The sequence below is a fragment of the Homo sapiens genome, chromosome 8 (genome assembly GCF_000001405.40).
Source record: "Homo sapiens chromosome 8, GRCh38.p14 Primary Assembly".
Taxonomy (NCBI): Eukaryota; Metazoa; Chordata; class Mammalia; order Primates; family Hominidae; genus Homo; species Homo sapiens.
In genome coordinates this window covers 139,926,917-139,943,772 of record NC_000008.11, presented here as the reverse complement: position 1 = coordinate 139,943,772, position 16,856 = coordinate 139,926,917, and the positions used below count along the sequence as shown (strand labels likewise).

Here is a 16,856-nt window from a genome sequence, read left to right as displayed (position 1 = left end):
AATGCATTGTTTATTAAAGATACTCTATTTCTCAGTTTTAGCTTTTCCACTTTTTAAAGTAATTTTTATCTGTCTGCTGAGTTTTCCTATTCTTTCCTGAATTGCCACAGTATTTTCAATAATGTTCTGGAGTATAGTTTTAATAACTTAAAAAATCTTTGTCTGCTAATTGCAACGTCTGTATTCTCTCAAATTGATGTCAATTTATTGAGTGTCTTTTCTCTTAAGGATGGGTCAGTTTCTTGGTTCTTCTTAGGTCAGTTAACTTTCAATTATATCCTGAACATTGTCATCTTATGTGTGGAGTCTCTGGATTTTGTTATAGTCCTTTGGAGAGAGTTCATTTAAAAAATTATTATTTAGCAGTTGTTTATCTTTGTTGGACTGTAATTGAAAACTCCACCTCGGCTGGGCACAGTGGTTCATGCCTGTAATCCCAGCACTTTGGGAGGCCAAGACAGGTGAATCACCTGAGGTCAGGAGTTCGAGACCAGCCTGGCCAACATGGCAAAGACCCAGCTCTACTAAAAACACAAAAATTAGCTGGGCGTGGTGGTATGCACCTGTAGTCCCAACTACTTGGGAGGCTGAGACAGGAGAATCGCTTGAACCCAGGTGGCGGAAGTTACAGTGAGCTGACATCGTACCACTGCACTCCAGTCTGGATGGCAGAATGAGACTCTGTCTCAATTTAAAAAAGAAAAACAAAATTCTACCTCTTGGACATCTCGAATCTCAGTTTTGTTCTTTTCTCCTTAGCTGGACTTCACTGACTCTGCTCCATGCACACCAGGTTCAGGAGTAAGCCAAAGCTCTGGGCAGATTCTATGTACAACATTCTGGACTCCTGCTCTCGGCCCTCTCCTTTCCTGAACTCTCCCTCCCTTTCCCTTGCTGTGGTTGCCCCAAACTCTGTCTTCAGACTTTTTGGCCAAGGAAGATGGCAGAGTCTCTCCCCGAGCTTTCGTTTCCACGTGGTGCTGACTCGGCCTGTCCTCAGACAAGAAGTCATAAAGGAAGGGTACCTGGCACCGTGGTTTTCCTTCTTCCGGGTGTCTGTTCTCTGTTCTCTCGACTATGTCTGTTTTTCTTTTCCTGCCAGTGCCTTCAGGTTGCTTATTAAAAAAAAATGTGTCCAGAATTTATAGTAATTATTTGCAGGAGGCTTTGGAGCTTGCTCAGATGTACTGGAACTTTTCTACTTTTCCAACTTTCACGCTTCCCCAGTTTATCTGACTGTGGAACTCTTGTTACACCTATTAAGCACCAATAAGAAGTTCTGGGGATGACGGTTTTTCTCAGGTGTCTTGAGAATGGTTTTTCTCAAATTCTGTCTCTAGCATCTTGCCTCCATTAGAAGCTCTTAAGATTCTCATGATTTTTTTTAAAAATAAAATGACCAATGACCAAATTTCTGATCCAAATAAGAACACTTGTTGGGTCAATGCCCAGGGATTCAATAAATAACTATTGGGTGTCTATTCCTTAACCGACCCTAGGAAGGTAAAATGCCAAAATGAGGGAGAACCCTCGTGCTCAGCAGGCGGAGATGTCATCACCCTTGCTGAGAACTAGAGAAGGGTTGCTACGTGGCCGCCCCCTGTTATTACCATCCCGAGTCACCGTCCACAAAGTGTTCTCATATCCGTCAGCCCAGTTCAGTGTTCACAAATCAGTAAGGCGAGTCTTTTAATTTGTAAAACACAGAAAAGGACACTAAGGCTTGAGAAGGTAGGTGACTTAGTGGAGGGAGCTGGGTTCCATCCCAGATGGGTTTGCTTCTGGAGCCTGTGTTCTTCATACACCCTCATGTGTCTCTGTCCTTCCTGCACACCGATCTGCAGGACCCTCCCCATGGGGCTCCTTCAGATATGCTCTGGCACTGTCTCCCATTTGCCTTAGGAAGAAGTTTGCAGAACAGTGTGGCAAACCCATGCCCGGAGCCCATGTGGGCCAGAGACTGAGCCCAGGGGTGCAGAGTGGAATATGCCCTCTGCCCAGCCTGCCTCCTGCTCGGCCAGCCTGCCCTGAGACCTTCACTGAAATGCTTGCATTTGTCGTGTTTGGGAGCACTGGCTTGCCACAGTTACAGTCACGCTGTCTGGGCAAACCAGTCTGTTGTAGATACCTGTGACTAGCCTTGGAAAATTCCTTTCCTTGTGCTGTTGAATTGGATGGTGATGTTACCACTTGGCACAGTCTCTCTCTGCCTTTGTTAAGGCTAAACAGGATGAGGGCACTGACTGCCCTCCTGCCAGCCCCTGGCCTGCCCTCCTGCCATACTGGGCCCTCTGTGTCCCATTTTCACTCCTACTCTTCTAGTCTTGCAACTGAGAGCACAGCCTCTTCCTACAGTAAGAGGGCCCCACCCTGAATCCTCACTTCTGGGCATTGGGGCAGCATCTCAGCCCCACTTCCTGGCTAGGGGCTGCCGGCCCTCCAGGGAAGTGGACAAACTACTTCTGCTCTGACGGCCTCTGTTGTTTCCCTGTGAGGCTTCTGCAGCCCCAGGGTCCTGGTCATGGTGCGTGTGGACTGCACCCTTCTCACCTGGCAGCCTCCTGTGAAGGCTGAGGGCCGGGGAGGATGCCCACCCGCTCTGAAGACTAGCCAATCGTGCCTGCCCAAGGCTCTGCTGCCCTGTTCTTCAGTGTCTGCAGCTGAGGCCCAGACAGGCATTTCCATTTGCCCATGCCAAGGGGTTCTGGGCCTGCCACAGAACCAATCATGTGGGTCCACCCCAGGTATGTCCCAGTGAGGACAGTGATGGGAGATGCTACCCCAACCCCCCTTCATAGGCTGCTGTGGGTGCCCGGCTTATGCACTTTACTATCGCAGATGCCTGGGGACACCCACAGCCTTGTCCCCTTCCCCAGCTCCCCTTCACCCTGGCCCAGCGCCCTGCCGGAACTCAGCCTCCCTCTGTGTGGAAGAGTGAATTCATCCCTCCCTAGGGTTCCAGCCACCTCTGCTGTGGTTGGCTCCTAATTTCCAAAGCTCTGTACGGCCATGAGGTGGGGAAGGAGGAAGAGGGACGTTGGCCAAGGTGCCTGTGGCTCCTCTCTGGCTGATTTGGTCATAGCTTCTTGGAGGAAGTTCTGTGGGTGACAGTGGAGCTGCCATTGGCCTAGCTGGAGCGTGGCCCCTGCCCTGTGTCCCTGCCGGCCCCTCTGCACCTTTGAGCCCAGGCCTGTGACTCTGCTGAGTCTGGGGCTGCCGCTCTCCACGTCCTGCCTCTGCAAGGAGGGAGCAGATATACTCTAGCTATGTGTCTGATTCATTTGCTTTTCAATTTTTAAAATCCCCCCCATTTCATTATGTTTCATTTCATTCCTTCTGGCACTATGAGGTTTTTCACAGTATGAAATTGAAAATGAAGATGATGACGATGATAATATTTGTTGGAATAGAGCATAGCAAAAACTCCCCAATTAACACAAACTTCAGTATCTGATGTCTTCCCTGTTTCTCTGTCTAGTAATTTGTGTCAGTGTCTAGAGAGATGGTGGAGAAGATGTATTAAGAAAAACTTGACTGCCAGAACTGTTCAGAAGTAAGAGAGACTTGGGGGCAGTAACCCACCTGCGCTCCTTGTGTCTGAGGGTGGAGGCCGTGGCGGATCCTGTAAGACAGGGGTGAGGGGAACTGATGATGATGTGTTCCAACCAAACGACGGGAATCCCAGACGTGTGGCCAGCAGGCCCAGTCCAGCTCGCAGGTATATTTGGGCTGCCTAGGGTGAAAAAAGAAACAACAAATTGAGCTGTCATTGTAAAAATATAGGAATTTCAGATTCAATCTCGTTTCTGGTTCTCTCGAGAGATCAGGAGCTGGAGCTGTGCAGAGCCGCATGCTGTGGCCTGGCTGCCAGAGGGGCAGGCCTTTCCCGCAGATGAGACCTGCACCTGCCTCTGCACCAGCCTCCCTCTCTTCCTGGGCCCTGGAGGCATTTTTGTTGCCATTCTGAACTTAGAGATTTCTTTCCAATTCTAGGACTTAGGAACTGAAACTGTTTTGGGCAATACTGAATAAGCCATGATCAGATGTGACCAGGCTGTTGTGGAGCCACAGAAGGTGGGAGCACTTGCTGAAAAGGACCAGAGGGAGGCACAGAGCCCCCAGCGACGGGGTGGCCTGGGACACGGGGCTGCCAGGATGCACATCAGCCCCACGACAGGGGTGCTTCCCACACCTGCAGGCCTGCAGCTTCAAACAGGAGCCTTTGTGGACCTGGACGGGTTGGGAGCAGATCCTGCCCTGGGAATGGGGACTGGGAGGGTGGGCTGAGGGTCTCGGTTGGGGAGGCTCTGTCCTTTTAGCCCCATGCGGCGTGCTGGACCACCTCCTTCTGGAGTTTCCTCACTCGCCAGGGGCTGCCCTCTCTGGCTCGCCCCGCTTCCCGGCCCCCTCTCAGGTGCTGGCACCTGCCCGCCACGCCTCTTGCTGTGTGTTGTCCACTCACCTCAGGGCCCTGGCTCCTATGCTCCTTGACCTCTCCAGACCCCGGTGTCCAGCAGAGGTGTTATCTCTTCCAGGACCTTCCTTGGACTCTGGGCTTTCACCCATTCTCTGGCTCCCATGGCAAATGTCCCCCAAATATAGCCCTTAGCGAAGTATGGTGGAGTTGCCTGCTCACTTGTCTGGCCAGTTCTTTGAGTACAAGTCATGTTTGAATGGCCCTTGTGTCCTGGTGCCTGTCGCCTGGAGAACAGTGGGCATTCCCTCCTGTCTGTCAAGTGGCAGGGAGGAATGGAGGAGCTGAATCTGAGGACATGGCACTTTATTCATTTGTCTTATTTCTCTCCTTTGGCCTTAAAAAATTAATCGGGGCCGGGCGCGGTGGCTCACGCCTGTAATCCCAGCACTTTGGGAGGCCGAGGCGGGTGGATCATGAGGTCAGGAGATCGAGACCATCCTGGCTAGCAAGGTGAAACCCCGTCTCTACTAAAAATACAAAAAATTAGCCGGGCGTGGTGGCGGGCGCCTGTAGTCCCAGCTACTCGGGAGGCTGAGGCAGGAGAATGGCGTGAACCCGGGAAGCGGAGCTTGCAGTGAGCCGAGATTGCGCCACTGCAGTCCACAGTCCGGCCTGGGCGACAGAGCGAGACTCCGTCTCAAAAAAAAAAAAATTAATCGGGTATAGCTCTGTGTGTCTCAAGGAATTGCACATTTAACATAGACTGTTTCTAGCTGGGCACAGTGGCTCATGCCTGTAATCCCAGCACTTTGGGAGGCCGAGGCGGGAGGATCACGAGGTCAGGAGATCGAGACCATCCTGGCTAACACGGTGAAAACTCATCTCTACTAAAAAATACAAAATATTAGCTGGGCATGGTGGTGGGCGCCTGTAGTCCCAGCTACTCGGGAGGCTGAGGCAGGAGAATGGCGTGAACCCGGGAGGCGGAGCTTGCAGTGAGCTGAGATCGCGCCACTGCACTCCAGCCCTGGTGACAGAGTGAGACTCCGTCTCAAAAAAAAAATAAAGATAGACTGTTTCAAAGGACCCACTGACTGTGTGGTTTTCTATCTGATTTCGGCATAGGGACGGCTGAGTTGACACACAGGTGGGGCAGCTTTGTCAGGTTCCCAAAGACCTGCCAGGAAGCCATGGGTGGAGAGAGGCTGCTGCTTTATTGTTTCAATGCAGGAATGTATTTCTTATCCCTAATTGTCAATTGCATATCATTACAGACATTCTCCTATTCATATTTCAATGGTTGTGGCATTTTCAGTATTAAGCCAGACACCCAAAAGATTTTTCTGGCTGAGTTGATCTCCCACAAGGAGAACTCTGTTTTCAAATCCCCGAAGACTCAGGGCCACTGAGGAGGTGTCTCTGTGCATCTGGTAATGCATTTCACCTGTCGGCGTCCTGAGCCACAGCGGGCACCAGAGCGTGTGTGGAGCCCTGGTGGCAGCTGCTCAGCGATGGCTTTGTCAAGCGCTGGCCAGAGAAGGCTTCATTACCCATGTTTAACGCGATTAGAAACCGTGGCGGCAGCGGTAATAATACGTGACATTTGCGTCCGCATTTCCGCTTCACACTGCGCCTTCCAAGTGTTTTCATTCACTGCCCTGCCGTCTGCCAGGAGCACTTCCAGAACCGCCTCATTCTAATTCTCTTCCCTTCCTCTCCTTGCTGCCTCCAGTGTGGACGACGCTGGTCTCTCTGTTGGCTTACATTGATCCTCCCTCTCTCCTGGCCCCACTGGCCCCAGCACCGGCCCTGCCACCTCGGCCCTCCAGCCTCCGCCTGCTCCTGAAGCCGCTGCCCCCAGCGCTGTCCCCGCAGCGCCTTGGGCTCCTAGGAAGGGGATTTCTTTTCTTCTTTGAGATGTCAGCCCAACCCACAAAAATAACATGTGTTCATTTTAGAAAAGAAGGAAAAGTATGGAGAAAATAATGTTTGGATGACACGGAATCCCAGCATCCAGAGAGAATACCTCCCTCTCTGGGCCCGCACCCATATTGCTATCTGTGTCTACTTTACTTCATTCACACCAAATTGGGATCGTTTTGTGTTCACTCTTCTGTGCCTCTTCCCATAATATAAAAAGAGCTTTTACTGTTACTCTTCAAGAACACAGTGCAATGTCCTGTAGACACAGGGGGCTAAAGCAGCCCCCTCCTGGGATGCAGCAAGGTATGGTCTGACTTTGCTCCCCTCCAGCCTGAAGTCCAGCCCCACTCTCTCCATGCTTTATACCACACTGCAGTGCCCACTCCCCACTCTCTCCATGCTTTATACCACACTGCAGTGCCCACTCCCCACTCTCTCCATGCTTTATACCACACTGCAGTGCCCACTCGCCCACTCTCTCCATGCTTTATACCACACTGCAGTGCCCACTCGCCCACTCTCTCCATGCTTTATACCACACTGCAGTGCCCACTCCCCACTCTCTCCGTGCTTTATACCACACTGCAGTGCCCACTCGCCCACTCTCTCCATGCTTTATACCACACTGCAGTGCCCACTCCCCACTCTCTCCATGCTTTATACCACACTGCAGTGCCCACTCCCCTATTCTCTCCCTGCTTTATACCACACTGCAGTCCCCACTCCCCACTCTCCCCATGCTTTATACCACACTGTGGTGCCCGCTCCCCCATTCTCTCCCTGCTTTATCACCACACTCAGTGCCCACTCGTCCTGTGTGTGCCACACACTTACCTTTCGGCTCTCAGTCCTCGTCCTGGGGTGCCCTGCCCTTGCTCAGGGGCCTAGTGGCTCTGCTCTACCTTTAGAAGGCTCTAAGCCGAGTGACTTCCCCATGCTCCCACTGGATGGGCTCCCAGCTCTGGTACAGCGTCTGCCACAGCTCCGCATATAGGTGTCGACCTCCCCACTCACCATTTGTGCCTGATTGCAGGGGCTGCGCTTCCTTTGTCCTTGTGTTCATAGCATGTGGCCTTGTGCTCCTGGCAGAGCTGGCACTCAGCATGCATGTTATGAATGAAGAAGCGCACTGCCTGCCTCGGAAATCACTTTAGGAGGTGTTTGGGATTTTCCATCTCTAAATCCTCCTTCAGCAGGACTAAGAGCTGTGATGGTGCGTGCTAGACGGTTTGTTGGCCTGTGGCGCTCCTGGGCTCTGGTAGGCGCTATCTCAAAAGGGCCGGAGTTAGGGATGCCGGGAATCCAGGTGAGGAGTTTTAGAGTCTTCAGAGGCCAACAGGCGTGGAGCAGGTGAGGTGGAGGTCAGCGTGAGCATGTGACGCCACTCCAGGCCTGTGCTCGCACCAGGTTCCCCAAGCCCTGGGCAGGAGTGGCCCTCCCCACATGGTGCAGGCTTCCCCATTGTGGGACTGGAGCAGGAAAGGTCACATGCCATCCTGACACTGCATTTCCAGCTCCATCCCTTTGGGTGACTAGTGTGGCATCTGTGTGCCTCAGTTTCCCCATCGGTGAATGAGGAAGGGTTCTTGTATGGATGAAATGAGGTGATTGTTCTGAAGTTGTGTTAAATTGTAAAACACTAAATAATGGTAGGCTATAATAGCAAAATAATTCTTTTGTTACTGTCATCAAGTGACTTGCCCGAGTTCATACGGCAAATAAGTTGAGCTTAGAACAAATGTAAAAAAAAAAAAAAAAAAAAAGCAAAGACTGAAGAAGCATATTTTAACTAAGAGATGCTTTTCACAAAAATGCCATATCATATCATATCCCTGTTTCCCAGCTTGGAGCTCTGGGAAGGAAGCTAGATACCATCCTCTTCTCTCTTTTTTATAGGCAAGGAGCTAGAAAGGGAGGGGAGGACTCAAACACACTGGTCATGGACTTGCCTGGGACTGTCTGCACACGCAGTCCATTCTCTCTCATTGAATTCCTGTAAGAACGTCATGGGATAGACGTTTTTTCTTATTTTATAGATGAGGAAATTGAGACCCAGAGAGGTGAGGAAATAGTCAAAGGTCTCAGAGCTGGCAGGTCACCCTGTAACCCTGAGAAGCAGACAGGATACGCGAGAGCTCCCAAACACAAAAGCACGTGTAATTTTTTAGAAATCTTTCCCCTCTCCTTCCCTGGCAGCCACTACATTGAAGAACCCCCGAGTCTACCATTTTGGGGTTCTAGGACAGAAGGTCCTGCACGCAGACATCAGTAGGCTTTCATTCACCATGCACCTTCTCTCGCACGGTGATGTCTTGTCTGGTCTTTCGGGGCTCCCATGAGATCACGTACCGGGAGGGGCTGAAATCCTGAGCAGTGAAGTGACAGGTCTCCTAGGGAATACCTGTGGTCCTCTGTCTTCTCCGTGTGATGTACCAGAGACTCTGTGAACATTGTCTTGCCTAATTCTCACAACAAGCCTGGGAAGCAGGTGTCCTGGCAAGACCTCGGAAAGCTAACCTGGTTTGACCCAGCCCACAAGTAGGACTTGGCAGTGCTGGGGCTCCTATCTCAAGTCTGAGAGTCTGAGTGGCTGCAGGTCAGTCACTTCGTCCTTTGGCCAGCGCTGTCCTGCCCAGAGCCATGTCCCCTATCTGAGCGAACACTGACCGAGGAACCCTTGCGATTGGGCCCCATGTGTCTACTTGCAAGATCAGAAGGGCGCGCCTTCCCCAGTCTGCAGGGATGGGGCCTCCTGTGGCCACATGTGCAGCCTGGAGATTCCTCGGCGGATGGAAGGCAGTTTCCTGAAGGTGGAAGAGGATTGAAAGAGAATTGCTGAGCGGTTTAGAAGTGATGACTCAGACAGGGGCTGATCATTAAGTAAAAAACTCTCTCTACACTATGAGTACCACTGAAATAGCACCAGGAAAGCCAGTCAGCAGTGCATGGCCTACAAGAGATTGGAAGAATGAAGTTTCAAGAGCCCAGGTTTTCCATTGTCTGTGCAAATTGTCATTGATGGTGGTAGAATATTTGTCATTATTGTCACTGCTAACTGTAATGACAGGAGACACCCCTGCCAGGTAGCCTGTGCACGCTCCTGCTGTGCGTACAGCTACTCTCATCTTCTCTCTCTCTCTCTCTCTCTCTCTGACTGGACTTGAAGTCAGGGATTCAGCCACATTTGCCTAATCTCTCTGTCTCTCTCTGATTGGACTTGAAGTCAGGGATTCAACCACATTTGCCTAAAACAGTGGCTGTTAGTGTCGGCACACAAAGCATTTTGTTGAATGAATGAAGGCAATCACATAGCTTAACCTGTTTTACAAAAAATTTGTTTTCAAAAATGAATTCTGCTGAGTATAACTTCTCACAGAGGTTTCTATAACGTAGTAGCAGCTAAGGATGGAGAAATATGGACAGGATGGTATTACGATCATGTAGGTTTATAAATAATAGATGACACCTACTAGCAACCACATAGCATAGTAGATGCTTTTGCTATACTATTTCTCATCTTTACCTTAATCCTTCGTGACATTATTGTTGCTGCTTTATAGATAAAGAAATTTGATGGGTTATGTAATTTACCGGAGCTCACACGGCTACGTAAGGTGGATCTGGAATCCATAGCGGTCCAGAACTGATCATGGACTTTGGTTAATCTCAAATATGTATGAATTGATTCCCAAAACTTTGTGTGGGAAGAGCAGAAACCAAGACAGGGATTGGCCAAGGGCAGGGATGACAAAAATGCTGAGCAAGTGTAAGTAGAAGAGTCGAGTTTGGGTTGCAGCCAGTGTGGTCCTCAGGGAGGCAAGACCGGGCCACGCGGTGCAGAGATCTGGGCAAAAGCGTGGAGAAGCGGCCGCGGTGGGCGGGAGGCGTCTGATCGAGGGCTCAAGACGCTGGCCCTGTGGTTTCCGTGGCCTGTGTCTGCCCAAATGGGTCCTATTCTGCCCCCACATCTGAAGGTTATAACTCTTGCTCTGTTTTGTTCAAGGCTGTGCGCTGAGTGGATCAGTGGGAGGCAGGACTTCCTTCCTGCAGGAGAGATGATATCTCCCTTGGCAACTTGGTTCTATCAGCACTGCGTATAATGTAGTTTCCATACTCATTGATTCATTCACAGTTCAACACGTATTCATGCGCTAATTAGGCTCTATTCCTTAAATGTTAGAAGAGATCTTAGTTGTGGAGTTTTCTGCTTTAGATGGAGCAGGTAGGCACAGAATCCAGGTACGATTCAGAGCACTGTTCCCTAGGGCATGTCCTCAAGGCAGCTGGAGAAACAGCTTGGTCACAAAGAATCATGCAAAAAACAAACACTGAGGAAGTCCATGGGTAGACAGCGGAGGGGCTGGGGTCTCGAGAAGAGAGATGTTGCTCCCGGCGGGGAATGAGGAGATGCTTCTGGAAGTAGTGGCTTTTTTGCGCCATGCCTTGAAGAGAAAGCATTTGTGCACCGGAGCAGAGGTGCAGGGGCGTTCCGGGAAGAAGAGCTGTATGATTTTTTTTTTTTTTTTTACCAGCTTATGCTGTGGTAACAGACTATTCCTAAATGTCAGTGACTATAAGCATGAGTTGACATCTTCTTACATTACATGTCAACGAGAGGTTGGCTGGGGCCTTGGGACCCTGCCCTGCATGACAGTGCTTTTTTTTTTTGAAGACACAGTCTCATTCTGTTGCCCAGGCTGCAGTGCAGAGGTACCATCTCGGCTCACTGCAACCTCCACCTCTGGGGTTCAGGCAATTCTCGTGCCTCAGCCTCCCACGTAGCTGGGACTACAGGCATGTGCCAACACACCTGGCTAATTTTTTTTGTAAATTAGTAGAGACGGGTTTCACCATGTTGTCCAGGCTGGTCTCGAACTCCTGAGCTCAGGCAATCCACCTGCCTCGGCCTTCCAAAGTGCTGGGATTACAGGCGTGAGCCACCGCGCCCAGTGTCTACATGACATTTCTACCCCAGGAGTCAGGTCAGCCAACATCTTGTACTTATGACGGGAGAAAGAAAGGGAGCCATACCACGTGGTGGTCCAGCGTGCTTCTGATCCAGTGTGGCATATGTCACTCTGCTCAGGTCCCGTGGCCAAGGACCTGTGGCCAAGCCTGACATCCACGAGGTGGGGACATTCTCCCATGGTGGCTACCCTGAGCGAGGCCCCGTGGTGCGGGACTCCCTCGGCTGCACGGCGAAGTGGCTCTGTGGGCTGCCTGCGGGGCCTGCCTGGCTGGTTTCTCCTTGTTCCTCCCTGTAAGGTCAATGCTTCTGAGCACCAAAGCCCTGCCTTTGGGCCAGCACCCCGCCCTCAGCCGCACATCAACACCTCTGCGGCCTCTTCTATCTCCTTTTGAATTGTATTATTGCTCTTAGGTGCTCTTGTAATGCTGGACAAATTCTCTGTGAATAAGGGAAAAAATTGAAGCATAAATCATCCGGAGAGTAGCATTTTCTAATTTGGATGTGTGGCAAAACAACTCTGGGTGATTTTTATTCTTTATTTTCAACACAGAATTTCTCTGACAGGCCATCGTCAGCTGCTATAGAGCAATAAATCAGAGTCATCTTTTCCGGGTGAAATGGGCTTAATTTCTCATCCTTTTGTTCGTGTTTCCCTTCCTCTTCTACCGCATGGCACTTGTAATCCTAATGATGCTGTGATGAGATATGATGGTCAGAGCCTCAGACTTATCAGGATGGGCTGACAAATCGTGGAGATCCGCACTGGTCCCACACCCGCCTCTGCTCAGGCGGGCAGGATGTAGATCTGCAGACTGGACCAGCTCAAGTTGATAGCCCCGTAGCATGCAGAGAAAGGAGCACTTTCCAGACCGCGGGGCCCAGAGGCTCAGGTCCAAAGCTTTGTGTGACCTCTGGGCTTGGCTTTTTGTACAATGAGAGCTTTGGACTAGGTGGTCTTCAAGGTCAACTGTAAAATCCTTGACACCACAGACAGGGTTCCAGTGGGCACCTGCCTTAAGGTGCGTGCCAGCCTCTGTGGAAGAGTGTTCATCCTTCTTTCTAGGGCTGTGGTTGTGGGTGATTGCACTAGGAAAGACTTGCAGAAACTGTCATTGTGGATATTTGCCACGTCATTAACCTCAGTCTCCTCCTCTGTGAGATGGGGATGTCAGGATCCAGCTCCTATGGTTGCGGTGAGGATTACGTGTATGCTCGGCTCTACTGCAGCTGGTGTTCAGTGAGTGGCAGTTGTCTATGGTTAATATTCTCATTTTTCAGATTAGAAAACTGAGCCTCATGAGGTCGAAGTGTTTCCCGAGGATCTCACAGCTTGCGGTTATAGAGGTGGGGTTAGAATCATCTAGAAGCTCTTTTCCTCACCCCTTTGGGGCAGTTTGGGAGGTGGGAGGACAAGAGCCAGGGCCTCGGGGTTGCTTCCTGGACAGACAGGGAACAGGCTCCATGACCTGAGGGCTGATTCCAGCAGGGTGGGCACCCTGCATGTGCCTTTTTCCATACCTATGAAAGGGGGCACCACCGAGTGCAGAGTCAATGAGCTAATGCAGGTGTCCAGCGTACACTGAGCACTCAACAGTGTTGCTGTCGTCGTGATTTCATCCTCATAACCCTTGGGTGGCCCCGTTTTCGCCTCCTTCCCTGTTTTGAGCGTCTCCTCAGAGGGTCTCATCTATGAGACAGCGGTGGAATGAGGCTGGGTTTCTAAGGGAGCTCCAGCTCTGGAAGGCCGGTTACTAGGATTGGTTGAAAACGAAATCTCATTGCAAAATAAGTTCCCTCCTCCATGGGGCTAAACACGGGGGATGCTCCTTATTGTATTTGACGGGTCTAGAAGGATCAAGATGGCCTTTGAATATTAATCTGTCACTGGTACCATTTTGTCTGTTTGATGTCTAGGATGGAAAAAAGAGGGGTGTGACTATCTCCTGTCTGATGCGAGCATTGCTGCTTGGAAAGCAGAACAGAAGTCCCTTTCCAAGGCTTGGCTCTAGTCATCGACCCCCTTGTTTTCCCTGTGATCCTGAGCCACCCACCTGCCCTACCGACACCACGGGAGAAGTTGACTGGCGAGAACCGTGTTGTGTGAGCGCGCTGGCCTTGCCACTGCTCACCTTGGCTGTATCTTGTTCACGTTACACATCAACTCCCGGCTGGCGCAGCCCCACTGCCCCACACTATAAGCCTTCCCATCTCAGGAGTTGGGATGGAGGGGTAAACATGCATTAAGATAGTGCGTAGAAGGCTTAAGGGTCTCAGCTCTTCCTGAGTGTCACCCCCTTGGCTGTCACCTCTTAGGCATCTGGGAGGTCCCAGAAATAAGAGAAGTGAAGTTATGCTTGTTCAGCCCCTAGCATATGCCATTCACGATGCTCAATGTTTTCTTTAAATTACCTGTTCATAACAGAGAAGTGTAGAGAATCGGCAGAATCCACGCACAGTGCCAAACACGTATATTGATGGCCTTCTGTGTGTCAGGTGCTGCTCCTGAGGACTGCACCTACAAGGTGGTGCTTGCTCCATTTTACAGGACATGGAAGGGTCTGAGGCAGAGAGGGGCTGGGCTGGAGATGAGGATGGAAAGGTGGGGAGGGCAGACCCCAGAGGCCCATCCCAGCTTAGCCTGCTCTGCTGGGCCTTCCTTGAACACCTGGCCAGCGCTGCCCAGGCTTGCTGGGTGACCAGCCAAGGGACCTGAGTCCACTCCCCACACACCTATGTGTCGGGTGCATGGCACCATGGTTCCTGAAGCAGCAGGGCATATGCAGAAACATGGTTTCAGAAGAGGACAGTATTCTTCTGGAAGACCATGGAAGCCTGTAGCTCAGGAAGAAGCAGCAGGCAGCACGGTAACTCTGTGTGGAGAGAAAACCAAAGCCAAGAACTGAGGCTGCCCGAAGCACAGGACAGCTCAGCTTTTTTTTTTTTCTCATGATCCGCCCACCTCGGCCTTCCAAAGTGCTGGGATTACAGGCGTGAGCCACCACGCTCGGCCCCCTCCCTTTTTTTTTATTGTAAGCCTGGGACCACTGCTGTGTTTGAGAACGGCATTGCACTAAAGTTATTTCAAGGCACCTTGTCTTAACTCAAATGTATCAGACGTTATCTGTTATCCTGGTGACCCCAAGCTTTCAGTAGATTCATGTATTGATCATCCACTCTGTGCTGTGCTTTGTAAGACTTTAGAGACATCGTTGTTTAAAATGTGACAGTCATGGTTCCTACCTGTGTGACTTTGTCAGGGAAAGTGACAGAAAAGTATATAAAACCTAAAATGTAGAAGCTTGTTAATTAATTAATTAATACATTTTTAAGAGAGTGGCTTCTTTATTTTAAACAAATAGAACTAAAAATAATTCCCGATTTCGTGAAGTATTTGCTAGTCATAGATTTTCCACAAGATGGGATTGCCATTGGCGTGCACAGCACCAGCTTGGGCACCCTCCCGCGCCCACGCACACGTCTCCCGTAAGCAACATCGAGGGGCGTGATGCTTGCAAGGCGTTGTCTTAGGGACCGAGGAGAATCAACAGACTGTGATGCAAGGGACTGTGGAGAATCAACGGGCTGTGATGCATTCTTCCTCTCCAAACACCTGTGGTTTCCTAGAGATAAAAATGCACCCACAAAAGGGTGAGACAAGACCCTGTGAGCGCCATACACAGACTGTACGGTGCCTTGGGATTCCCAGGAAGGAACTCTCAGGAGTGGAGAGAGGGCAAGACACTGTGGCCAGCACACAAGCATGGAGATGGCGTGGAGAATGCGTCACCTCCAGGGCTGGGACAGACCTCCCAGCCACGCACTCACCCAGTACCGACAGCAGCTCTGAGGTCGGTCGATGCTGTGGGCTTTTCCATTGTACACACAAAGGCCTTGAGGTCAAGGAACTTCAGTCTCTTGCCAGGCCTAAGATTTGAACCCAGGTGTTTCTTTTGTTATTTTCTTTTTTTTTTTGAGATGGAGTCTCACTTTGTCACCCAGGCTGGAGTGCAGTGGCGCCATCTTGGCTCACTGCAACCTCTGCCTCCTGGGTTCAAGCGATTCTCCTGCCTCAGCCTCCTGAGTAGCTGGGATTACAGGCACCCACCACCACACCCAGCTAATTTTTGTCTTTTTAGTAGAGACGGCATTTTGCCATGTTGGCCAGGCTAGTCTCGAACTCCTGACCTCAGGTGATTCACCTGCCTCAGCTTCCCAAAGTGCTGGGATTATAGGCATGAGCCACTGTACCCAACCCAAACCGAGGTGTTTCTGACTTTAGAAGACACACTTCTCCAGTGGTTTAGAGCCAGACAGTTTTGGTGGGGAGATATTTCACAGGGCTTGTCTTTTGGTACAACTTTATAGAAGGATTATTGTGGAAGAGTAAACCCTACATATTTAAAGTGTATAATTTGATCAGCTTTGATATGTGTCTATACGCAAGGAATTTTCAGCACATTCAGTATAACAAATGTTGCTATCACCCCCAAAAGTTCTTTGTGCCCTTTTGCAGTCTGTCCCACAGCAACCCCTGGCGTGCTTCTGCCGTGGATTAGCTCTTGTGTTCCAGGATTTTATATAAATGGGATCACATAGTGAGGACTTGCATTTGTCTGACATCACTCACTCAGCACAATGGTTTGGAGATTCATCCACGTGGTTGGCCTGCAACAATAGTTTGTTCCTTTTTGTAGTTGAGTATTTCATTCTTAAAGTATTCCATTATTTATGTATGCATTCGCCTGTTGATGGGCATTTGGGTTGTTTCTACTTTTTTGGCTATTGCTATTAAAGCTGCCATAACCATTCCTCAACAGACCTCTGCATAGACGTATTTTCATTGCTCTTGGTGAATATCTGGGAGTAGGATTTTGGCCCATATGATAGGTCTGTGGATAACTAAGAAACTACCAGACCAGGTCAGGTGCAGTGGCTCACACCTGTAATGCCAGTACTTTGGAAGGCTGAGGCAGGCAGGTCACTTGAGCCCAGGAGTTTGAGACCAACCTGGACAACATAATGAGAACTCATCTCTACTAAAAATAAAAAACATTAGCTGGGTGTGGTGGTGCACACTTGTAGTCCCAGCTACTCAGGAGGTTAAAGTGGAAGGATTGCTTGAGCCTGGGAGGTCTAGGCTGCAGTGAGCTATGGCTGTGCCACCACATTCCAGCTTGAGTAACAGAGTGAGACTGTCTAAAAAAAAAAAGAAAGAAAAGAAAAAATAGCAGATTCCCTTGCATGCTCCCATCAGCAGTGTGTGAGAGTTCTCGTTCTTCCACCCCAGTCACTGCCAATGCTTGATGTGGTCAGTCTGTTTCATTGTAGCTGTTCAAGTATGGGTGTTTCCCATTGTGATAGTTTGACATTTACATTTCCCCCATGACTGTGGATGCTGAGCATCTTCCCAAGTATTTATGGATTATTTGAAACTTTCTTTGATGAAATGTCTATTTAAATATTTTGCCTATTTTTCATTAGGTTGTTTGAGTTCATATTATTGGGTTTTGAGATTTCTTTATATAGTCTTGGATACAAATCTTTTGT

At 50.0% G+C, this 16,856-nt stretch overlaps 1 protein-coding gene and 1 long non-coding RNA gene across 16 annotated transcripts in view, besides 3 other annotated features; one reads left to right on the top strand and one right to left on the bottom strand.

Annotated features, from left to right (window-relative positions):
• Positions 1-16,856, top strand: part of TRAPPC9 (trafficking protein particle complex subunit 9) — a 730,855-nt gene that overhangs the window by 514,807 nt on the left and 199,192 nt on the right. The gene's annotated exons all lie outside the window — the stretch shown is intronic.
• Positions 3,796-4,295: an enhancer, noted in NCBI's record as "H3K4me1 hESC enhancer chr8:140951761-140952260 (GRCh37/hg19 assembly coordinates)". NCBI's record gives its function as "activates a minimal SCP1, AML or CMV promoter by ChIP-STARR-seq in primed H9 embryonic stem cells {active_cell/tissue: H9 hESC(primed)}" and the evidence as "EXISTENCE:reporter gene assay evidence [ECO:0000049][PMID:30033119]".
• Positions 4,296-4,797: an enhancer, noted in NCBI's record as "H3K4me1 hESC enhancer chr8:140951259-140951760 (GRCh37/hg19 assembly coordinates)". NCBI's record gives its function as "activates a minimal SCP1, AML or CMV promoter by ChIP-STARR-seq in primed H9 embryonic stem cells {active_cell/tissue: H9 hESC(primed)}" and the evidence as "EXISTENCE:reporter gene assay evidence [ECO:0000049][PMID:30033119]".
• Positions 6,199-6,758: an enhancer, noted in NCBI's record as "H3K4me1 hESC enhancer chr8:140949298-140949857 (GRCh37/hg19 assembly coordinates)". NCBI's record gives its function as "activates a minimal SCP1, AML or CMV promoter by ChIP-STARR-seq in naive H9 embryonic stem cells {active_cell/tissue: H9 hESC(naive)}" and the evidence as "EXISTENCE:reporter gene assay evidence [ECO:0000049][PMID:30033119]".
• On the bottom strand, positions 9,829-12,353 carry C8orf17 (chromosome 8 putative open reading frame 17). Its single transcript, NR_172942.1, has one exon. It is a non-coding gene; the product is annotated as a chromosome 8 putative open reading frame 17 (long non-coding RNA).